This window comes from Homo sapiens, chromosome 3 (genome assembly GCF_000001405.40).
Source record: "Homo sapiens chromosome 3, GRCh38.p14 Primary Assembly".
Taxonomy (NCBI): Eukaryota; Metazoa; Chordata; class Mammalia; order Primates; family Hominidae; genus Homo; species Homo sapiens.
In genome coordinates this window covers 44625036-44648483 of record NC_000003.12, presented here as the reverse complement: position 1 = coordinate 44648483, position 23448 = coordinate 44625036, and the positions used below count along the sequence as shown (strand labels likewise).

General features: G+C 39.4%; 3 protein-coding genes and 1 long non-coding RNA gene across 16 annotated transcripts in view, besides 4 other annotated features; 1 reads left to right on the top strand and 3 right to left on the bottom strand.

Moving 5' to 3' along the window:
- Positions 1 to 67: part of a biological region, named in NCBI's record as "NANOG-H3K27ac-H3K4me1 hESC enhancer GRCh37_chr3:44689909-44690468", that runs on past the window's edge.
- Positions 1 to 67: part of an enhancer, noted in NCBI's record as "NANOG-H3K27ac-H3K4me1 hESC enhancer chr3:44689909-44690468 (GRCh37/hg19 assembly coordinates)", that runs on past the window's edge. NCBI's record gives its function as "activates a minimal SCP1, AML or CMV promoter by ChIP-STARR-seq in naive H9 embryonic stem cells {active_cell/tissue: H9 hESC(naive)}" and the evidence as "EXISTENCE:reporter gene assay evidence [ECO:0000049][PMID:30033119]".
- ZNF35 (zinc finger protein 35) overlaps positions 1 to 1978 on the bottom strand; it is a 14286-nt gene extending 12308 nt beyond the window's left edge. The window contains exon 1 of one of the 2 annotated variants that reach the window (XM_047448870.1): positions 1827 to 1978. The gene's annotated coding sequence lies outside the window, so the exon portion shown is untranslated. The remainder of the gene's footprint in view (positions 1 to 1826) is intronic. The other variant, XM_047448869.1, reaches the window with a different exon arrangement.
- ZKSCAN7-AS1 (ZKSCAN7 ZNF cluster antisense RNA 1) overlaps positions 1 to 23448 on the top strand; it is a 128297-nt gene that overhangs the window by 37170 nt on the left and 67679 nt on the right. The window lies entirely within an intron of this gene.
- The window catches only part of ZNF660-ZNF197 (ZNF660-ZNF197 readthrough), a 63508-nt gene continuing 40072 nt past the window's right edge, over positions 13 to 23448 (bottom strand). Inside the window, exons 3-8 of one of the 6 annotated variants that reach the window (NR_147692.2) lie at positions 18940 to 19410; positions 17538 to 17670; positions 17263 to 17422; positions 16288 to 16379; positions 15885 to 16011; positions 13 to 6584 (exon numbers count right to left, since the gene is read on the bottom strand). Coding sequence is in view for 4 of the 6 variants with exons in the window: in NM_001351733.2 (NP_001338662.1) it covers positions 4264 to 6584; positions 15885 to 16011; positions 16288 to 16379; positions 17263 to 17422; positions 18940 to 19329 (3090 nt within the window). In the remaining 2 variants the exon portion in view is untranslated. Of the gene's footprint in view, positions 6585 to 15884; positions 16012 to 16287; positions 16380 to 17262; positions 17423 to 17537; positions 17671 to 18939; positions 19420 to 23448 lie in introns of all 6 variants that reach the window. The other 5 variants (NR_147691.2, NM_001351733.2, NM_001351735.2 and 2 more) reach the window with 5 other exon arrangements.
- Positions 13 to 23448, bottom strand: ZNF197 (zinc finger protein 197). 7 transcript variants are annotated; one of them, NR_136582.2, is made up of 7 exons: positions 23341 to 23448; positions 18940 to 19410; positions 17538 to 17670; positions 17263 to 17422; positions 16288 to 16379; positions 15885 to 16011; positions 13 to 1993 (listed from the first exon to the last, which is right to left on the bottom strand). NR_136582.2 is itself a non-coding variant. In NM_001323295.2 (7 exons), the coding sequence occupies exons 5-7, from the start codon at positions 16318 to 16320 to the stop codon at positions 4264 to 4266; spliced, it is 2481 nt and encodes an 826-aa protein (NP_001310224.1). In that variant the 5' UTR covers positions 16321 to 16379; positions 17263 to 17422; positions 17538 to 17670; positions 18940 to 19410; positions 23341 to 23448; the 3' UTR covers positions 13 to 4263. The 7 variants fall into 7 exon arrangements, 6 of the variants coding, with proteins under 6 accessions (NP_001310224.1, NP_001310222.1, NP_001020026.1 ...); NM_001323295.2 differs by having other exon boundaries at positions 13 to 6584; NM_001323293.2 differs by lacking the exon at positions 17538 to 17670 and having other exon boundaries at positions 13 to 6584; positions 18940 to 19419.
- Positions 22613 to 23115: an enhancer, noted in NCBI's record as "H3K27ac hESC enhancer chr3:44666861-44667363 (GRCh37/hg19 assembly coordinates)". NCBI's record gives its function as "activates a minimal SCP1, AML or CMV promoter by ChIP-STARR-seq in naive H9 embryonic stem cells {active_cell/tissue: H9 hESC(naive)}" and the evidence as "EXISTENCE:reporter gene assay evidence [ECO:0000049][PMID:30033119]".
- Positions 23095 to 23444: a silencer, noted in NCBI's record as "silent region_14270". NCBI's record gives its function as "represses an Ori minimal core promoter by ATAC-STARR-seq in GM12878 lymphoblastoid cells {active_cell/tissue: GM12878}" and the evidence as "EXISTENCE:reporter gene assay evidence [ECO:0000049][PMID:35858748]".

Here is a 23448-nt window from a genome sequence, read left to right as displayed (position 1 = left end):
AGAAAGCCCTGATAATTTCCCCTCAAATGTTTTATTTTGAAAATATCAGAGTACAGAAGAGTTGAAAGTATGGCACATTGAATACCCGTATTTTCCATGTGGACTCAACAATGAACATTTTGCTATGTTTGCCTGATCTCTCAATACATATTTAAAATCATTTTTTTGAAAGTTGTAAACATCAGAACACTTCATTCCAAATACTTCAACATGCATCCCTTAAGATTAAGAATATTCTTCAAACTACCACCACCGTCACAGGTAAGAAAATCAACAAAAATTCCCTAATACCATCTAATAACCAGTCATATTCAAATTTCCCAACTGTCCTAAAACATGTATTTTATAACTTTTTTTCAAATCAGTTTCACACACTTTAGTTGGTTACAGCTCTTTAGTTTTGGGTTTTCGTTGCCATTGTTGGTTTTTACTTTTTATTTTGAAATGATAGAATCACAGGAAGTTGCAAAGATAGCACCCTTCACCCACTTTCCCCTCATGGTTACATCTTACATAAAATGAAAAAGGAAATCAACATTGGTACAGTATGTGTGTATAGGTATAGCACCTATAGATTTGTGTAACCACCACTGCAATCAAGATACACAAGTGTTCCATCACCACAAAGACCTTTCTGGTGCTACCTTTTAATAGTTCCATCCAACCCTCTCCCCATTTTTCCTCCCACCATCCCTAACCTTTGGCAACCATTAATCCATTTTTCATCTCTATAGTTTTATCATTTTGAGAATGTTATATGAATATTTTCATACAGAATATGGCCTTTTGTGATTATTTTCACTCAGCATTAATTCCCTTGAAATTTATTTGAGTTGTTATGGATATCAATAAGTCAATTTTATTGCAGAGTAACAAGTATTCCATGGTAATACATAAACCACAATTTGTTTTAACCACCTAAGGAAGGATATATGGGTTGCCTACAGGTTTCGACCATTACAAATAAAGCTGCTATGAACATTCGTATACAGGTTTTTGTGTGAACGCAAGTTTTCATTTCTCTGGGATAAATGCTCAGAAGTGCAATTCCTGAAGCATGACATATACATGTGTGGTTTTACAAGAAACTGCCAAATTATATTCCAGAGTGGCTGTACCATTTTACATTCCCAGCAATGTATGAGATCCTGTTTCTCTTCATCCTTGCCAGCAGTTACCACCATTAAAAAAAAAAAGTTAAGCTATTCTGATAGGTGATATCTCACGATTTTACTCTGCATTTCCCTCATGCCTAATGATGTTGAACATCTTTTCATTTGCTTATTTGCTATCTATACTTCAGTGAAATGTCTGTCTTTTGCTTATTTTCTAATTGTATTTACTTATTACTGTTAAATTTGGAAAGTTCTTTATGTAGTTTACATACAAATCCCTTGTTGGATATGATTTGCAAATATTTTTTCCCAACCTGTAATATCATCTTTGTAAAAAGGTCTCTTACAGGGTAAATTATCTTAATTTTGATGAAGTCCAATTTAACATTTTTTTTCCTTCTAAGGAGCATGCTTTTGAGTCATCTGAGCCTTCTTAGCTCAGTCCTAGGTCCTGAAGTTGTTGGTTTACTGCCTATGGATATCCAATTACTCCAACAGTATTTGCTGAAAAGGCGATCCCTCCTCCATTGAATTGCTTTTGCCCCTGTCAAAAATCAATTGGCCATTTATGTGAGTCTATTTCTGGTTCTTAGTACCTAACGGCTCTCTAGTATTATCTTTTAAAAACAAGCCTCCTCATCCATGTTTTATACCTTTCATATCGAAATTTTCATACATACACAAAAGCAGAGAATGGTATAATAAACTCACAGCAGACTCAAGACAGCTTGAACAATTTTCACTCCCCTCTCTTTTTCATCATAATAATATTTTGAAGAATCCAGGGCAGCTTTCTTATGCAATATTCCACGTTCTGGATGTGTCTGTTTCTCGTGGTGTCTTTTATTTGTTCCTCTGCCTCCTGTATTTCCTGTAACCTGGCAATGAGGTCCAAGAAGCTTGATTAAATTCAGGTTGAACATTTTTCAGCTTATTACATCACAGAAGGTGGCACATTATGTGGGCTGTCTCAATCTAAGCAATGTGACATTTTGTTACTCGGTGAAGAGGTAAATCACAGCATTCTCCATTGTTAAAGTACATATGTCCTTTGTAATTATTATATAAGCTGGGATGATTCAACAACCTGGATGAAACATTTTTATATTCATTATCTCATAAGAACTTTGTGAGGTAGATATTCTTCCTCCTGTTTAACAGATGAGGAATTCAAGGCTCCAAGAACTGAAGAGATTTTTTCTGAGGCAGATGGCAAAACCTGAACCACATCCAGGTCTTAAGACTTTAAGCCTTAGGCCCCTTCCAGTTTTCACTCTTGGCTACCTTTCACTCTAATGAGGAACCAGCCCCCAAGAAACTGTGGGGTTGAATTAATAACATTTATGATAATCAACACACCACTTTGACATTATTAAAAAACACAATCTTCATATTCAGGTATTATTCATAGTCCAGCTACAGAAACAGAACTTTGAGAATTACAACATAAAAATTACCAACTTAAGAATATAGACTGAGTTAAACCCACAAATGTACTCAAGGGCACAGAATGGTTCACAGGGGGTAATGGGCACTGACTGCCCACAAGTGGATTCTGCACTGGCTTAATCAGTGAAGAGCTTGGCTCCATGTGAAAAATTTATGTCCCAGTAAATTTAGTGCTGGGACAGAATGTTGTTTCATTAGTAACAGGCTATCATTTGACAGCAATGATGAAATATTGATTAGAATTCACAATGACTGTGGCAGGGATCATCAGCTCAACTGCGGGTCAAGGATTTTTTTCCCTCTGAATAGGGAAAGCAGGGTACCACTGCCCTTCCATTTTGACACTCTCCATCTGTTAAGTTTCAAATTCAAAAGCTGGGAAATAAATTGTTTTCCTTGGCATCACTGTTAATGGCTGGCCATAACATTTTTTTCCATATACATAAACTAGATATATAATCTAGTAACTCCCTCAGATATTTTTAAAGGTAAATTTAACAAAATTATTCTTAGAACACTAAATTCCAGTTAGCTATTCACCATACTTCCTCTTATGAAAATGAGTATCTTTTAGGTTCCTGGAATCCCCCTCATTCTAATATTGACTTAATACACAAACTTACATGATCCCATGTTCTAAACTTTTACCATAACCTCTTTTATCCAACTTTATTGACAACTGAATGATTTCAAAAAGTACTTTCACAAAGATCCTTTCACTTAACCCTCACAACAACCCTGTGAGGTAGGTATCATGTCAACATTTGACTGACAGGAAACTAAAGCTTTAGAGGCTGACTTAATAACATCACATGGCCATTAAGGGAAAGCCAGGAATCAAAGGTAGGTCTTCTGATTCCAAATCCAGTGCTCTTTTAGGTTGTCCTCATCAGCAGACTCTTGTCCGCCCAACTCCACACCTGACATTCTGGATCATACTGTCTGTTCAGGTTTTCCACAGCAGTGACACTATCTTTAAAATGCATACTATACACATTTTAAAAAACAATGTCCACTTTTTATTATTAAATTTTTAGTTTTATTAATAAATTTATTTTTATTTACTAAAGACGGGTCTCCCCGTGTTACCCAGGCTTGTCTCGAACTCCTGGGCTCAAGGGATCTTCCCACCTCGGCCTCCCAAAGTCCTGGGACTACAGGAGTGAGCCACTGCACCCAGCCCATGTCTACTTTTTATTGTTGCTCTCATTTACAACTATGTTATTAGATTTGGATTATGTTTTTGTAGACTTGAAAGTTGGGATGAACTTTATTTTTTCAGACAAGAGTTTCGCTCTTGTTGCCCAGGCTGGAGTGCAATGGCGCGATCCTGGCTCACTGCAACCTCCGCCCTCCCAGGTTCAAGCGACTCTCCTGTCTCAGCCTCCTGAGTAGCTGGGATTACCGGTGTGTGCCCCCATGCCCGGATAATTTTTGTATTTTAGTAGAGATGGGGTTTCACCATGTTGGTCAGGCTGGTCTCAAAATCCTGACCTCAGGTGATCCACTCGCTTCGGCCTCTCAAAGTGCTGGGATTACAGGCATGAGCCACCAAGCCCGGCCTATTAACTTTCTTCTATATGCTACTCATTTGTCTAGTAAAGAGTAAATAATAAACTTTTTCCTTAGAAGAAATATATATCATTTGTCCAACAGTTACTTAAGTAGGCAGGGATTCTATTCCATTTTACATATGACACTAGATTTTCTGAATCTCAATCTTGGACTCATTGGTGTTTTGTAGCCAAGAGAATTCCTCAATGGTATGGATTTTCTGTTGAAGATGAAGGTTGGAAGTCTGAGAGAATTCTTTTTCAGACACATCACATTCACAAGGTTTTTCATCTGTGTGGATTTTCTGATGTACAGTAAGGTTTTTTCTTTGCCTAAAAACTTTACTACAATCATTACACCCATAGGGTTTCTCCCCTGTGTGAATTCTCTGGTGGCCAACTAAATTCCTCTTAGAAGTAAAGGATTTCCTACACTTGTCACACTCATAAGGTTTTTCCCCAGTGTGCATTCTCTGATGTACAACAAGGTTTTTATTCTGACTAAAGTCTTTTCCACACTCATTACATTTATAAGGTTTCTCTCCAGTATGGATTCTTTGATGTACCATAAGATTTCTACTAGAGGTAAGGACTTTCCTACATACATGACATTCGTAGGTTTTTTCTCCACTGTGAATTCTTTGATGTTCAATCAGGTTTCTGTTGTACGTAAAACCTTTTCCACACTCACTACACGCATAGGGCTTCTCACCAGTATGGATCCTCTGATGGGCTATAAGGTTTGAGCGGTAACTGAAGACCTTCCCACAGTCATTGCATTTATAAGATTTTTCCCTCGTGTGAATTCTCTGATGTCCAATGAGGCTTTTCTTCAGAATGAAGCATTTGCCACACTCATCACACTCATAGGGTTTCTCACCACTGTGGATTCTCTTATGCTCAATGAGGTTTCTGTTTGAACTGAAAGCTCTTCCACACTCACTGCATTCAAAGGGTTTTTCTCCGGTGTGGATTCTCCGATGTACAAGCAGGCTTGAATTGTAACTGAAAGCCTTCCCACAATCCTCACATTTGTAGGCTTTCTCTTGTGTATGGAGTTTCTGATGGACCATAAAACTTTTGCTCATAATAAAGGTTTTCCCACACTCTCGACATTCATATGGCTTCTCCCCATTGTGGAGTCTCTCATGGTCAATGAGGTTTCTGTTTGAACCGAAGACCTTACCACAATCTTTACATTCATAGAGATTCTCTCCAGTGTGGAACCTTTGATGTAAAATGAGGCTCTTCTTCAGAATAAAAACTTTCCCACATTCATTACATTCATAGGGCTTCTCCCCATTGTGGAGTCTCTGGTGGTCAAAAAGGTAAGCACTTTGAGTAAAGGCTTTCCCACATTCAGTGCATTTGTAAGGTTTCTCTCTGCTGTGCATCCTCTTATGGTCAATGAAGTTTGACTTAGAACTGAAAATCTTCCCACACTTTTTACAACCAAAGGTTTTCTTTTCTGTGTGGACTCTCTGATGTAAGAGGAGGCTTTTGCTTCGAATGAAAACTTTTCCACATTCTTTACACTTGTAAGGGTTCTCTGCACTGTGGAGTCGCTGATGGTCAATAAGATAAGTGGTCTGAGCAAAGGTCTTTCCACATTCATCACATTTATAGGGTTTTTCCCCAGAGTGGATTCTCTGGTGCAGAATGAGGCTCTTCTTCAGAATGAAAGCTTTCTGACACTTATTACATTTATAAGGTTCTTCCCCTTTGTGGAGCCTCTGATGGTCAATGAGGTAAGCATTCTGAGAGAAGACTTTCCCACATTCATTACACTTATAAGGTCTCTCCCCTGAATGGCGCCTTAGATGTATAATTAGGCCTGAGTGCCTATAGAAGCCCTTTCCACACTCCTTACACTTATAAGGTTTCTCCCCAGTGTGGATCCTCTGATGGTTTAGAAGGTAAGCACTTTGAGAAAATGCTTTCCCACATTCATTACATTTATAAGGTTTCTCCCCTGAATGGTTCCGTAAATGCATTAGAAGGCTCGAACGCTGAATAAAGCCTTTTCCACATTCCTTACATTTATGAGGTTTCTCACCAGTGTGGATTCTCCGATGGTTTATAAGATGGGAGATTTTATTAAAATGTTTACAACACATATCACATTTATAAAACTTCTTTCCTTCAGTACCTATTAAACTTTCAGAAATAGCTGAACCGAAAGTCAAGCTGTCTCCTAATTCCTTCCACTTTTGGCCTTGTTTCTCTGGTGGAGTCCTTTTCTTCTTGTCTCGTTCACAAAGGGAAACTTTCTTCACTGTATCTGCCCTTTCATCTGTTTCATTTCCCCACTGACTTGCCAAAACTTGCCATTCACACTCTTCTTCAAAATCAAGGACCTGGGGAACACTTCCTTGAAGTCTTTTTGATGTTCCTTTATGAGAGTCTGCTCTTTGAGAACTACTTGGCTTTGATGTCACCTCCTCATTCTCGGTCATGGTCTCCCATTCTGGTAAAAGGAATTAAAAATGCAAATGTTACCACGTCCCTGTGTTTGGAAGAACAGGATCTTCAAATGACTTTAAAACATTCTAGGAAGGCACACTTTAATATGCATACAAAAAGGAGAAACTTTTCATTAAAGGAAGGTACAAAGAATAATGCTACACTGACAAGATGTTGTAAATGGATTAACATACAACTCAGGTTGAGACATTTTTAAGTGCTTTGTCTTCAGGAAGCAGATAGAAAAATACAAATAATGCTGAGAAAACAGAAGCAAGGAAAACCAGAGAGAAAACACAGGATCTTATGGAGGTGGTTCACATCTAAGGAACTTGGATAGAAGAGCAAGAACCATTGGATTAGAAGTAACTTTCTTTATTATTTTCTTCATGTTAGAAGGATGGAAACTTTAAGGGAAGGAAAATATATGTAAGGACTCTGAAAGGCAATTTTTAATTTTTGAAAAGTCAAAGGCATGAATACTTTTTAACTGGTTGAAAGCAATTAACCAACAGAAAAGAAATCCATTGAAAAGCAACTTAATTCTTAGAATTCATATAACTCCTACTCCGTTTAAAATTAAGAAATGGAAATTTTAAAATTCATTTTAAATAGTCAGGTCTGTTATGAACTCCCTTAATTACACATAAAAGGTAAGAGAAGAAATACAGAAAAGAAAAGGGAAAATAGAATAAAAGTATGAAAACATCTGTAAAATGATGAGGCTAAACTAATATCCAAGGTTCCTATCTACTCCAATATTCTCAAATATTTTAAAGTATGAACAGTATGAAAATGTTTTGGAAGTTTACTTTCAAACTACCCAAGTGTGAGAGAAATTATGAGCCAGTTCCCCCAAACTGTCTAATAAGTAAAGTTATGTGAATAGCAGTAACATCATCTTCTCTTTGAATATAACAATACTTTTCTTCTATCTAAACAGAGAGAGAAGACAAGAGTGCAGCCATTTTATTTCATTATACATTTCTTTAAGTTTATGAAAGGATGAGGATGGCAAATATCCAACAAATATTAACTTGAACTACAGACATTCTTAGGTCAGGCCCTCATATCTCATCTCAACTGCCCTTCTCTCTAGGACTCAGGCAGGACTGCCAGTCACACTACCCAACCACCTGGCTGCAGGGATGGGTATGTGTCTTAAGCCTATCTAATGCTGGTACTTCAGTTTCCTTATTCACAGTGAGGTTTCAAACATAAGGAGAGGCCGGGCATGGTGGCTCATGCCTGTAATTCCAGCACTCTGGGAGGCTGAGGAGGGCGGATCACTTGAGGTCAGGACTTTGAGACCAGCCTGGCCAACATGGTGAAACCCTGTCTCTACCAAAAATACAAAAATTAGCTGGGCATGGTGGTGCACACCTGTAATTCCAGCTACTCAGGAGGCTGAGGCAGGAGAATCACTTGAACCAGGGAGGTAGAGGTTGCAGTGAGCCGAGATCACACCACTGCATTCCAGCCTGGGTGACAGAGCAAGACTCCATCTCAAAACAAAACAAGAACAAAACAAACAAAAAACAAAGAGAATGCTGATGGAGAGGAGGGCTGCTTCTATATAATGAAACATTTCTATATAAGGAAATGAAGTGTTACAAGTAGTTAAACTGAGATGGAAAATGGTTAAGAAATTAGCAACTCTTGTATCAGTAGCTAATTAGCTGGTTAAACTATTTAATATTTTTAGCTTAGGAATCAGACTATATATGGGCCTCTTGAGCTTTTTAAGACTTTGTAGAAAAATGTCAGAATGACAGAGGGAGCTGGTTACTTTCCATAACCTTTGGTGAATGAAGCCTGCAAGAAAGAGACACAGGCTTTCCTACCACTGACACCCCCCGCCTTTCATCTGCCCTAATCCATGCCTATCTTCTGTCAATGATCTTTCCGATAGGTAAATTTGATCCTGTCACTTACCTGCACAAAACACCTAACTCTTCATTGCCTACAGGACAAAGCAGAAATAACCAGTGGAGTCAAAGGGGTATCTTCACCCACTGCCTGTTTTTCTGGTATCAACTATCATCAGTATCTCTTATGCCCCTAGACTCTAGCCACACTGAACTACATGCAGCTGCCCAAACATGTCATTTCTTGCCTATCACTGTCCGTGTCCTTTCCTCTTCCTGAATTGCTCTTCTTCTTTCCAACTCACTACCTAAGCCCGTACCTACACCCTTTAAAACTAAGTTCTAAAGTCACTCTCTGGACATTAACATTGATCTTAAAAAAATAAAAAGGAGTATAAATGATACTATCAATGATACTGTGCCAATAAATTAAGACAACTTAGATGAAATAGGCAAATTCCTAGAAAGGCACAAATTACTAAAACTGACTCAAGAAAAAAAATGGAAAATCTGAGTAGATCTACAACAGGGAAAGAAATTGAATCAATAATTAAAAAAAAAAAAAATTACCCCCACCCCCTGCCTGCACACAAAAAGCCCAGGCCCAGGCTGCTTCACTGGCAAATTCTACCAAACCTTAAAAGAATACCATTTCTTCACAAATTCTTCCAATAAACAGAAACATTTCCCAACTAATTCTATGAAGCCAGTGTTGCCCTGATAGCAAAACCAGACATAACCATCACAAAAAAGAAAACTATAGATAAATATAGCTTATGAATACAAACATAAAAATCCTCAACAAAATGCTAACTAACCAAATCTAGCAGGACATAAAAAGAATTATACACCATGACCAGGTGAGATTTATCACAGGAAAATAATGTTGGTATAACACTAGGAAACCAATTGATGTAATACACCATATCAACGAAATGAAAAACAAAAACCACATCATCATGACAATAGATAAAACACTCCATGGTGATAAAAACACTCAACAAAGTAGGAATAGAATTTCTGGCCAGGCACAGTGGCTCATGCCTGTAATCCCAGTGCTTTGGCAAGCCAAGGTAGGTGGATTGCTTGAGGCCAAGAGTTTGAGACCAGCTTGGGGAACATGGTGAGACACTGTCTTTACAGAAAAAAATAAAATTAAAATAAAAACAAATAATTAGCTTGGTGTGTGCCTGTGGTCCTAGATATGTGGGAGGCTGAGATAACAGGATTAGGAGGATTACTTCAGCCCAGGAAGTTGAGGATGTAGTGAGCCGTGATCACGCCACTGCACTCTAGTCTGGGCAACAGAGTAAGACACTGTTCAAAAAAATTAAAATAAATTATATTTCATGGTGAAAGACTGAATGTGTTCTCTCTAAGGACAAGAACAAGAAAAGGCTGTCTGCTCTTGCCACTTCTAGTCAACATGTACTGGAGGTTCTAGCCAGAGCAATTAGGCAAGAGAAAGAAATAAAAGGCATCCAGATTGTAAAGGAAGAAGTAAAATTATCTCTATTTGCAGATGACAAAATCTTGCATATAGACAATCCTTGGAAATCACTAAAAAGCTATTAAAACTAATATATAAATACAGCAAGATTGCAGGATACAAGCTCAACATATAAAAATCAGCCTGACATAGTGGCACACACCTGTAGTCAAAGCTATTCAGTAGATTTAGGCTGAGGACTGCTTGAGCCCAGGAGCTCAAGGTCAGCCTGAGAAACGTATAAAACCCCATCGCATTAAAAAAAAAAAGTGGTATTTCTATGCATTAGTATTAAATAATCCACAAAGAAAATTAATAAAACATTTATAATAGTCTCAAACAATAAGATTAGGATAAATTTAACAAAAGAAGTGAAAAACTTATATTCTTATATTCTGAAAACTACAAAACATTACTGAAAGAAGCTGAAGGCCTAAATAAATGGAAAGAAACCTCATGTTCAAAGATTAAAAGATTTAACATTGATAAATGGCAGTACTCCTCAAATTGATCTACAGATTCATTGCAATCCCTACTAAAATCTCAGCTTGCTTCTTCAAAGATATTGACCAGCTGATACCAAAATTAGATGGAAAGTCAAGAGACCTAGAGTAGCTAAAACAATCTTGAAAAAGAACATAGTTGGAAGACTCACACCTTTTTATTTCAAAATGTACCATGAAGCCAAAATAGTAAAAGAGGGTGATACTGACATAAGGGTAGACATATAGATCAAAGGACTAGATTTGAGACTTTAGAAATAAACCCTGATATTTATGATCAACTGCTTTTTTAAAAGGGTGCCAAAACAATGCAATGGGGAAAGCACAGTCTTTTCAACAAATGGTGCCTGGGATAAATGGTGCCACATGCAAAAGAATGAAGATGGATCCTTATCTCATACTATATAAAAAAATTAACTCAAAATGGATAAAAGACCGAAATGTAAGAGCTAAAACTTAAAAGAAAACATAGACATAAATCTTCCCGGCCCTAGATTAGTGATGGTTTCTTAGATATGACACCAAAAGCAGAAGCAACAAAAGAAAAAAAAAACTGGAATTCATCACAATTAATGACTTTTGTCCTTCAAAGGATACCATCAAGTAAGGGAAAAGTCACCAGGCCCAGTGGCTCATGCCTGTAATGCCAACACTTGGGGAGGCTGAGGCAGGAAGATCGCTTGAGGCCAGGAGTTCAAGACTAGCTTGGGCAACACGGTAAGACTCTGTCTCTACAAAAAATTTTAAAATTAGCCAGGCTGGTGGGGTGCATTTGTAATCCCAGCCACTTGGGAGGCTGAGGTGAGAGGATCGCTTGAGCCCAGGAATTCAAGGCTGCAGTAAGCTATGATCACACCACTACACTCCAGCCTGGGCAACAGGGCAAGACCCCACAGAATGGGAGAAAATATTTGTAAGTCATATATCTGTTACGGGACTTATATATAGAATATATAAAGAACTCTTACAACTTAGTAATAAAAAGACAAATAACTTAGTTAAAATATAGACAAAGAATCTGAATAGACAGTTTTCTCCGAAGACGTACATATAGTCAATAAGAACATAAAAAGTTGCTTGACATCATTAACCATCAGGTAAATGCACATCAAAACCACAGTGAGATATCATTTCAGACCCACTAGGATAGTTAAAATAAAAAAGACAGATAATAACAAGTGTTAGGGATGATGCAGAGAAACAGGAACCCTTATACGCTGCTGGAAGGAGTGTAAAATGGTGCAGTTGCTTTGGAAAACAGTCTGGAAGTTCCTCAAATGATTAAATACAGAGTTATCATAAGACCTAGCAATTCTACTTCTAGGTAGAAATGAAAACATATATCCACACAAAAAATTATACACAAACGTTCATAGCAGCATTATTCATAATGGACCAAAAGCGGAAGTACCTAAGTATTTATCAACTGATAAATGGGAGATACATCCATTCAATGGAATATTTGGCAATAAAAAGGAATAAAGAACTGATACCTGATACAACATGGATGAGCCTTAGAAATACTATGCTAAGTAAAAGAAGCCAATCACAAATGACCACATATTGCATGATTCCATTTATATGAAATGTTTCAAATACACAAATCTACAGAGGTAGAAAGTAGATTGGTGCCTGCTAGGGCTGGATTGGAGGAATGAGTTAGGTGAAATGAAGGTGGACTGCTGAAGGGTTCAAGGTTCCTTTTGGGGTTGATGAAATTTTTTTTTTTTTTTTTTTTTGAGACGGAGTCTTGCTCTGTCGCCCAGGCTGGAGTGCAATGGCACAATCTCGGCTCACTGCAAGCTCTGCCTCCCGGGTTCAAGCCATTCTCCTGCCTCAGCCTCCCAAGTAGCTGGGACTACAGGCACCTGCCACCACACCCGGCTAATTTTTTTGTATTTTTAGTAGAGACGGGGTTTCCCCGTGTTAGCCAGGATGGTCTTGATCTCCTGACCTCGTGATCCGCCTGCCTTGGCCTCCCAAACGGCTGGGATTACAGGCATGAGCCACCATGCCGGCCGAAAATGTTTTAAAATTATTGTGGTGATGGTTGCACAACTCTGTGAATACACAATAACCACTGAACTGTACACTTTAAATGGTGAATTTTACGGTATGTTAAATATACCTCAGTAAAACTGTTATAAATCTTTCCTTCCTGGTGGAGGAACTGGGAACCATCCATCTCCTCCTCCCACTGTCCCAATCCTTCCATCATTCCCAGGATCCTATGGGCTCACACAAACTTATGCACCCTTTTATTATACAGAATGTGCCAAATTGTATTGTAATTATAAGTGGAAATGTCTATCTCTCCAATCTGAATGTACTTTAAGGCAGGGGCTAAGCCTGACAGGGGAGGTACTCAATATTTCTTAATACTTTCCTTCAAGTTTTAGTCCAATCTCCTAAATAAACATATACAAATATTTTACATACTGAAGTAGTATGTACAAGTTATCTGGGAGTCTACTTTTCTACCACAGTTTATCGATGCATGAAAATTGAGTACACAGAGTTGTCATAATATTTGATAGTGTCATAATATACTATTAGGTCAAAACACCATGTTCTGCTTAGTACTTTACCCTTAGGGAATTTGTTTTGCCCAACTTTTAACCATCATAGTTACCTGGGACTATTTTTAGACATATAACTTTTATTTCCTCTTTCTGAACCATTTCTTTAATGTATCTCAAATCAGAGTTACTAAGTCAATGGGAATAAACATTGGGCATCTGCTTGCCCGAAGCCCCAACAACATCGGAGTGCACATTTTTTTTTTAATTTATTAAAGTAGGTTCAAGTTTCTTTTTCTTCAAAGAGCCAGAATAATCAAGCAATTACATTATTTTATTGGTTTTTTTTTTTTTTTAGTTTAACTCTTAGACCTATCTGGAATTTATTTTAGTATACAGCATGAGGTATGGGTCCATGGTGAGTGTTCTTCATAAAATTAGCCAATTAATCCATATAGTCTATTTTAAAATTTTTAGGAAAGATTGATTATTGAGTAAATAGCTTTGGAACTACTGAAAGCTACTTGGATTAAAAAACAAGCTTGGAGGGTGGTGCATGCCTAGAGTCTCAGCTACTTGGGAGGCTGGGGTGGGAGGTTTGCTTGAGGCCAGGAGTTTGAGGCCAGCCTGGGCAGCATAGTGAGGCTGCCATCTCAAAAAGCAATAACACCCCTCCACAAGATGTCTATGTCATTCTATGTATCAAGATATATTGATAAATATCAAGATGGATTAAAGCTTAAATGTCAAAATAAAATGATAAATAAGAAAATACAGCTGGGTATGGTGGCTCACGCCTATAATCCCAGCACTTTGGGAGGCTGAGGCGGGTGGATCACCTGAGGTCAGGAGTTTAAGACCAGCCTGGCCAACATGGCGAAACCCCGTCTCTACTAAAAATACAAAAATTAGCTGGGCCTGGTGGTGCATGCCTGTAGTCCCAGCTACTTGGGAGGCTGAGGCAGGAGAATTGCTTGAACCCAGGAGGCAGAGGTTACAGTGAGCTGAGATCACGCCACTGCACTCCAGCCTGGCCGACAAGTGGAAACTCCATCTCAAAAAAAAAAATAGAATACAGGTGGGTTTACAAAATAATTTTATGAGGAAAAAGACCACTAAGACCATAAAGGAAAATACTGCCAAGTTTGACAACATAAAGGATTTTCTAAGGCTTAAAAAAAATTAATAATATTGAAAGGCAAACAAATGGGAAAAACATATGCAACAACTGACAAAGCATTAGCAGTAGTTCTATATATAGGAAGTATATGAATAGGAGTAAAATGACCAATAAACATATGAAGAGATTTCAATCACACTAATAATGAAAACATGAAAAACAAACAAAAGATGGTATTCTTCATCTACCTAGCAAAGATTTAATTAAAAGACTGACCAAATCATGAGCATATCCAGGGAAAATTGGCTCTCCTGTGTGTTCTTTCTGTGGGAGTTTAATTCAAGTATCATTGGTAGAAAATAATTTGGTAATATGTATCAAAGTATAAAATCTACAGACTGTTTCACCCACCACTGCCACTACTGAGATACTAAAGGATACAGTCTCAAAAGTGTGAAAATGTACAGTTTAAATTATTAAAGATAATAAAATAAAGTTGCTAGGTACAAAATTAACACAAACAAAAAGTACTTTCATATATGCAAATGACAGTCAATTAGAAAATACAGAAAAGACTCCAATTCCAAAGAATAAATATTACCAGAAATATGGAAGATCTAGGCAATTTTAAAACATGCCCGATGCATACAAAAGCAGTACAGAAAAAATGGAATGTTATGTAATGTTCTTGAATAGAAACATTCAGAATCATAAAGCTGTCAATGTAAAGCATGATACACAGACCATGCAATACTCTGCAGCCATTTAAACTGATACTGTAAATCTGTATTTCAGTCAAAGTTAGTTCCTGTGGCTGATTACCCAGTTCTGAACGTTGATTTCTCCAAAGAGAATTCTACTCTTTTCTTCAAGTTCCAGTATAAATGCTACCTCCTTTATGGCCTTTGCTAATCCCTAGGAATGAAACTGATTGCCCCGTTTTCTGCATTTCTGTCACACCAGGTTTATGCCACTCTTGTACCAATTATTTTACTCTGCCTTGTATATTTAATATCTCTGTAATCATCTCCTAAACCATTGTAAGCTATTTAAGGGCCGAATCACATCATTTTCACAGCTGTACCATGATAGGTATTTAATGTCTGCTGGTAGCAAAAATGGCTAAAAATTGTTTTGAAATATTCTTTTATTATTTATCAAAGAAATCTATTTTAGAATATATATAACTTTAAAAATATATTAGCAACAATTTAGAATTGTGGGATTACTCAGTACAAATGAAGGCAGAGCAAAAGGAGTGTTCTTATACACCACTTCTAAGAACAGAGAGGACAGGGATCGCTACAGAAAGTAATTTGGCAATATGAAGCAAGAGCCTCAAAGCCATTCAAACACTTATGCCCAGTAATTGTACCTCTAAAAATAATAAAACATTTTAGAAGGCCTTAGGCACAGAGACAGATGATTATTATAGCAGTTATCTAAAATAAGGAATGGCTGACTGAATTATGGTACAAATCATATAGCCAATATAGATAATAACTGCAAAGAGTTTGTAACATGTGAGAACACACACAAGGAAAGCAAGCTATAAAACTGTGCACAGACACACACACACACACACTTTGGAACAATGTAAAAAATCCCTCAAACATATAGAAAAAACAGAAAGGTAATATATCAAAATGATAATAGTTATCTGGAAATAGCGATGTTAAGGAAGGTTTTTTTCTTCTTTGTAATATTCGGTGTTTTCCAAAATACATATATGCTACTTTTATAATCAGAAAACAAATAAAGGCTGGTGAAATAAAGGTAAGCATCATAGAAAGAAGAATCCTTACCTAGGGAGGTCACATTTCCATAATTCTCCAGCATCACATCCCAGTACAAGGCCCTCTGGATTGGGCCCAGACATGCCCATTCCTCTGAAGTGAAGCATACTGACACCTCCTCGAACATCACCAACTCCTGAAATAACAAGTGTGTGTGAGATTACCAATGCCCAGGAACTTGCCTGTCGAAAGGTTCCCTTCACTTCTGGGGAAGGGATACACTGTGAGGCCATGAGTGCATAACAGACATCAGGGAGACATAAGGAGATCACATGTAAAGTCTGTCTTCCAATAGCATAGACCCTGATTTAGAAATGGGAACTGACTGGACATTGAAGCACAAGGATGAGAGAGGGCACTTCAGCCACAGTTACGCTGTGCAGATGGGAAGGAAAGAGGATGCAAACCTTACCTGGGGCTGGGCTGTTAGGAGCATAAGTGCCATTAATTGATTTCTTGGGTTCTCTTCCTGGGAAAGGGCAGAAGCTTCAGGGGCAGGAGAATCTGAGGAGGGAGAAAAAGCTGCATATGGGACCTACAAACCTTTTCTGAGTGACCCCACTTGCAGAGCTGGAATAACACAAAGAGTAGCAGTAAGAATGATACAAGGCAGGGCGTGGTGGCTCACACCTGTAATCCCAGAGCTTTGGGAAGCCGAGGTGGGTGGCTCCCAAGGTCAAGAGATTACGACCATCCTGGCCAACATGGTGAAACCCTGTCTCTACTAAAAATACAAAAAAATTAGCTGGGCGTGGTGGCACGTGCCTGTAGTCCCAGGTACTCGGGAGGCTGAGGCAGGAGAATGGCTTGAACCTGGGAGGCGGAGGTTGCAGTGAGCCGAGATTGTGCCATTGCACTCCAGCCTGGCAACAGAGCGAGACTCCATCTCAAAAAAAAAAAACAAAAATGGCCGGGTGCAGTGGCTCACACCTGTAATCCCAGCACTTTGGGAGGCCAAGGCGGGCAGATCACAAGGTCAGATCAAGACCATCTTGGCTAACACAGTGAAACCCCGTTTCTACTAAAAAAAAAATTAAAAAACTAGCCGGGCACAGTGGCGGGCACCTGTAGTCCCAGCTACTCAGGAGGCTGACGTAGGAGAATGGCGTAAACCCAGGAGGCGGAGGTTGCAGTGAGCTGAGATCGCGCCACTGCACTCCAGCCTGGGCGACAGAGCGAGACTCCGTCTCAAAAAAAAAAAGGGGGGATGTATACAAGCTCAGAGGGGCCCAAGAAAGAAGGAGAGAACAACAGAACAGCAGAAAGAAATTGGCACTGTAAGAGACTCCTAGACAGGGTAGCAGAGGAAGCAACTCCCTGGAAGTAGGGGGATGAGCCACAGGAAGGGTCCTTGAACAGCCCAAAACCCAGAGCACTGAGTAAATACCATGCTGAGGATCCTGGAGGTTGAATGCCACTAGGTCAGTAGGAGGATGCGGGCAAATTTCAGCTGCTATGTGGCTGCCAGGAAGTACAGGAGGAAGTGTTGTTCCTGGGGCACTCACCACCTTCTGGAGAGTGTCCTGATCCTTGACAAGGACTGGAACCTGGAAACAAGTAAAATAAGCTAGCTCTTCTTGTTTCTTAAGAAAATGGACTCACCTAAGCACTGTGGACCTCTTTCTGCCCACAATCTACAACTGTGAGATCAGAGAGACCCACCTCAAGTATGGAGCATCAAAACAGCAGTAAAGCTTTGCATTGAGAACAATGGAGCTGCCCTCGAGCCCCACTCATGGCACTGGTGACCTCTCCCAGAGGAGACTGTACACAACGGTGGGAACAGAAGCCAGACCTGGGTGTGGGTTAAGGAGGGAATGGGAAGTAATAAGCAGTAATTAAGAGCATGGATTTTAGCTTCAGACTTAAGTTTTAGATCGGACTTCAGTCACATCTCTTCTACTTATTTACCATCTACTTATTGACCCCTTTACCTAGCCCTTTGTGCTCAAATACAACTAACACTAAAATTGGCACCAAGACACTTGGTTTTGCGGCCAGCTAGACATCTGCCTCAGTTTCCTTATCTCTCAAATGAGGATGTATTAGTAATTTGTAACGAAATATATAGCTCTAAAATTGTTCACGTTATTATTAAAAGAAACAAGCCCATCCTTAATGCCACACCCAAGTTTGAGTTATGATTCAGACGTCTTATACAGAAATGTTTCTAGTGAGCTACAGATGTACAAAAAGAAATCTCACACACATGAGAGGCTACATTAAGATCCCAATCTAATGGTCAAGGATATAAATCTTATCAGAAGCAAATATCTTAACCCAATCCCTTGGCTTGCAGATCCCTAGTAGGGCACACAAGAGGAGATCTTACCAAGATGTGGAAAGCTTCATTCTTGTTATGCTACTGCCATTTTATTTATTTATTTATTTAAAGACAGGATCTCACTCCATCACCCAGGCTGGAGTGCAATGGTGTAATCATAGCTCACTGCTGCCTCAACCTCCTGGGTTCAAGTGATCCTCCCACCTCAGCCTTCTAAGTAGCTGGGACTATAGGCACTCGCCACTACATCTGGCTAATTTTTAAATTTTTTGTAGAGATGGGGTCTTCCCATGTTGTCCAGGCTGGTCTTGAACTCCTGGCCTCAAATGATCCTCCCACCTCAGCCTCCCAAAATGCTGTGGCATGAGCCACTGTGCCTGGCCTGCTATTGCCTTTTATACTCTAGGCTTACATCACCATTCCAAACAGAATTATAGAAACAATACATAGGCTTCTGTTTAGGGAAAAACTTATTAACATTTCTTCTTCAGGTTCTTGGTCCAAACTCAGCATTAGCAAGCATTACCCAAGGGACAAAACAGTCAATGTTTTTATGCTGCTTCTCAGTTGGACCCGAAGACCTCAACGTAAATCCGTTTCTCTACAGACATATTCTATGGTCTGAATACTCATGGACCTGCTTTAATTATCATTAAGGTTGCTAGTGTGCTATTAATGCTATTAATTTTTAATGAAAATCACAGGATCACCCTCTAGCCTAGCCTCAATTCTTTCCTTCCTTTCATCCCAACACCCACCGCCCCTCCCTGTCTTTCTCACTTGTATTGCTGGTCCATCAAGGTCTTTCTGCAGCTCCTCTACCAGGGCCACAGCCTCCTCGCCACTTCCAGGGTGATGGAGCTGTACCCAGGTCCGAATCTCCCCAGGCAGGATGCTCAGAAACTGCTCCAGCACCAGCAGCTCCAGGATCTGTGCCTTGGTGCGTGCTTCTGGTCTCAGCCACCGGCGACAGAGTTCCCTGAGCCGGCTCAGGGCTTCCTGGGGTCCAGATGTCTCATGGTAACGTAATTGTCTAAAGTGTAGGTGGGAGGTCTCCCAAACAGAGGAGCTACTTCCTTGGAAGCTGGTTCCCCATTTCCAGGTATCATCCTTCCCCTTCACAAGGCCCTCTTGTCTCAGAGCATTGTGGGCTACATTTTCTCTTGTCATTGTTGTTTTTTGAAAAAGGCTCCTCTCCAGTCCAGGTCTCCTTAATCCTTGACTTCTTCCTTACAGCTTGGAGAGTATCATCTACAAGACCTCAAGAAATCATTGTTAAAGTTAGCCCAGAGAAACAACTGAGCTTTCCAGGCCCCAGTCAGCTCCCAGTCAGCTCCCAGTAATAAAGAGAACCTTTGTGAGTGCAAGGTTCCAGGCTCTAGAGAGTGCTTCCTCTGACAGAAACCCCCTGCCTAAGGCTCTGGGATACAAACACTCATGTTACGCACGAGACTGCTGAAACCAAACACATGAACTTCCTTTGGTCTTTGTTCATAGGATCCCTTCAGCTAATTACAATAGACTCTTTACCACTCTAACAATGAGCATCCTGACTACTCCTGTGTAACCTGGAACAAGTACCTCACTTCTGAGCCTTAGTTTCTTAACCTGTAAAATAGGGATAGTAACAGTTCCTACCTTATGGGGTTGTCATGAGAATTTGATGTATAATACATTTCAAGTTTTTGAACAGTGCCTGGTATACGGGTTTAAATGTTACTTATTACCCTTCTGTAACTAGTACTCTTTCCTATGTTCCGCAGAGTTAACAAGTAATCATTAATCATGATACATATGAGAGAAAATCCTAACCACCTCCTCAATTAACAAAGAAAGGATGAATTAAGTTCTGTGTAGTTTTGCTCTACATGCCTTTAATTCTCTGAAAATTGTTCTTTCTGTTAATCAAAATATTTGGATAAATTTGCCTTTTCTTCTTTTCCTTTCACATCTAGTCCCACAGATGGATAAATATGAATAGAGTTTTATTATACAGAACTTAGACTTGCTCTCTAGAAATCATCTGCTCTTTAGAAATAACATTTTTCTAATTATAAAACCAGAAAACACACAAAACCAGAAAACAATCACTGCTATTATTCTGAACTATGTCCTTACCATAGTTTAATTATCATAGATAAATTCTAACTTTCCCCTATTATTAATAAGGTCACAACGGCTATCCTTGATAACAAATTTTTAGTTACATCTCTGCTTATTTCTTCAGGATAAACTCCTAGGAGAAAATTGTTGGGCTGAAGGATAAAAACATTTTTAAGCTTTTAAGGTTATAACAGTTATATCACCATCAGTGACATATGAAAACATCCTCTTTATTTGAACACACAGACCCTTAAAGAGAGCTTGCTTATAACAAACAGGGGAGCCAGAAATATAAACATAATTTCAATATAATGTTTAAGTACAAGTAATAGGAGAACATAAAACTACAGAAAGGATTCATGAAAGGAAATTTCTTTTTTTTTTTTTTTTTGAGATGGAGTCTCGCTCTGTCACCCAGGCTGGAGTGCAGTGGCATGATCTCGGCTCAGCGCAACCTCTGCTTGACAGGTTCAAGCAATTTTCCTGTCTCAGCTTTCCAGGCAGCTGGTACTACAGGCTCGCACCACCATGCCCAGGTAATTTTTGTATTTTTGGTAGAGACGGGGTTTCGCAATGTTGGCCAGGATGGTCTCAATCTCTTGACCTCGTGATCTGCCTGCCTTGGACTCCCAAAGTGCTGAGATTACAGGCATGAGCCACCATACCCAGCCATGAAAGGTACTTTTGGATTGGGCTTTTAAGGAAAAATAAAAGGATCATTGGACTATGAGGAAAGCCATTCCAGGAAGAAAGAAACTCTATTTTCAAAAGCAAGGAAGGACACATAACTCTGTGAAGGAAGACCAGAGAAGGAAAGTAAACTTCAGAGGCAAGAGTGTAGGAGTAGAGCAGAGAGGTGAACAGAAGTTAAATTCTAACTACTGCTCTTGAGAGGCAGTATTCTGAGGAGATGATCCTGTCCTGTAAGTGAAGTGATTTTACTTACATTTCAGCATTAAAGAGGCTTTACTTTACATTTTTCCTTATTTTTAAAAATAGTAATATATTCACTTGGTTCAAAATTTAAAATTATAAAATGTATACTGTGTAAAGTTTCCTTCTCCGTTAGCTTCTTATCTATCTTTCCAGTTATTTCTGCATATGTGTGTACATATATTGTTTTCTAGTTCCCTTTTTTTCACAAATGGTAGGACACCATGAATGACGTGGTACATTTTCCTCTTCTCAATAATATGTCTTAGAGATCTTTCCTGTCAATACACAGCCCCTCTCCGCATTTTTATGGATGCATAGATGTATCATAATTTATTCATGCCAGCACTGATGGAATGTTTGGGTAGTTTTCAATCATTTCTTATTACCAACAATATAATCATGAATAATCTTGGGCATACATCAGTTTGGATGTGTGTAGGCATATATAAGAAAAATTCCTTGAATCAGAATTGCTGAGTTAAAAGGTATATACATGTATAATTTTGATATTGCCAATTTGACCTCACTAGGATTGAACCAATTTATAATTTATACTCCCATCAGAAACAGCTGTATGGGAGTGCCTTTCCTCACTTTCACCAATATGTTTCTCAAAGTTTGTGCTCTTCGCCAAATTTTTGACTTGCATTTTGAACGAATTAATATAGAGTCATTTGTATATTTTTTAAAGTAACTATTCATATATTTTGCCCATGTTTCCATTGAGGTGTTGGGTCTTGTTAATTTGTACACACTTTTATCACAGGAAAATTAGTCCTTTGTTTACAATGGCAGCTGCAAATTTTTCTCAGTTTGTCAAGTGTCTTTGTGACTATATATGCCATGTGACTTTGCTTAAAGTGTTTTTTGCCATGCAGTCAATCTTTTACGACTTCTGGGTACTGTACCACAATTAGAAAGACCTTTTTCACTCTGAGCATGAAGAGAGTCTTAAGTGGTGTCAGGACTCTATTAGTGAGAAATGGTGGGGGTGGGAGGGCTGGATATCAAGAAAGGTCAGTTAGGTTTTTCTAATAGTCTAAACACATGACTTAAGTTCTAAACGAAGTAGGGATAAGGCAATTGAGAAAAACTTGGTAGTCCTTGGTAACTGATCTGGGGGTGATGGAAAGGAATTTTTAAAAAGAATTTTGAATAATTTTCAAATAACATAAAAATAACAAATTCTTAAACATACATTTTATTAGCTTCTCACAAAAGGTTTTCAAAGCAGAAGTTAAAAAAAACAAAAGGATCAGAGGAGCGAATCCACTCAAGGCCACTTAGCTAACTGAGACATGGGAGCAAATTCTGAATTCAGGGATTCTAATTCCAGAAGTCCAAAACAATTCCATCTACGAAGAAACTTATGAAACCCAAACAACCCAAACTGTTCTAAAACAACAGTTTCCAAACACCAGTCCACGACAAAGCTTTAATCTGGTAAGCTGCAAAAAGAGAAAACCAGTAACAATCGTCGCTGACAGGTTGGCAATGAGTGTGTGTGTGTGTGTGTGTGTGTGTGTGTGTGTGTGCGCGCGCGCGCGCAAAGGCCAGCATTTATTCTGAGTTTACGGTCTTAGTACTTTGTGTTAAAATGTATTGCCTGAAGTAATGTTGGTATGGGTGGTTTCAAGTTTGAGTTTTTCAAGTTTGATTTTTAAATACCATTATATTACAAAACTAAAAGACTAAAAAAGCTAAAATCGTTCCACCCCTTAAAACAAACAAACAAAAAAATCCGTCCTCAAGAGTCTGGGCGCCACCGGTAATAGGGAAACCTCAGAATGTTTCTGTGGATTAGCCTCAGACAAGACTGAGGAAGAGCAGAAAGGCCTGAGCTGGGGGAGCAGGCTACTGAGGCAGCTCTTCTCAAAGCGCCAGCAGAGTCCGTTAGACAGGAGCACCGGTCCACAAACACACACAGACTCGGAGCTGCTGTCCTCAGTACTTCCCTCGGGCCGGCTGCCTGCCCAGCCGAGGCCACGACGTCGAACCCCAACACGAAGCTGGCGACGGACCATGCCGGGGGTCAGGGCCCGGGAGAGGCTACCGAGGGCTGTGCAGTCCCAGCAAGCTCAGGCCCGCGTCCCGGGCCGCCTTCCCTGCACGCCCACCCGCCCCCGAGCCCACCCCGCTCACCGGGGGCTCCCGCTGCGGCTCCAGCCTTGCGTACCGCCGCCTCGGCGCCAGGCCGCTAGGAGATGACACAGGAACGAGCCCTTCCGGCAGCCGAGGCACAGAATAATG

Excerpts from the sequence above, each read along its gene's own strand:
- ZNF197 (NM_001323293.2), bottom strand. The coding sequence starts at position 19,329 with ATGACAAGAGAAAATGTAGCCCACAATGCTCTGAGACAAGAGGGCCTT. Across the intron at positions 16,380-17,262 it reads CCTCCAGGATCCTCAGCATG|ATTCTCCTGCCCCTGAAGCT; the intron begins GTATTTACTCAG and ends CTCCCTCCTCAG. Across the intron at positions 16,012-16,287 it reads TCCTAACAGCCCAGCCCCAG|GAGTTGGTGATGTTCGAGGA; the intron begins GTAAGGTTTGCA and ends TTGTTATTTCAG.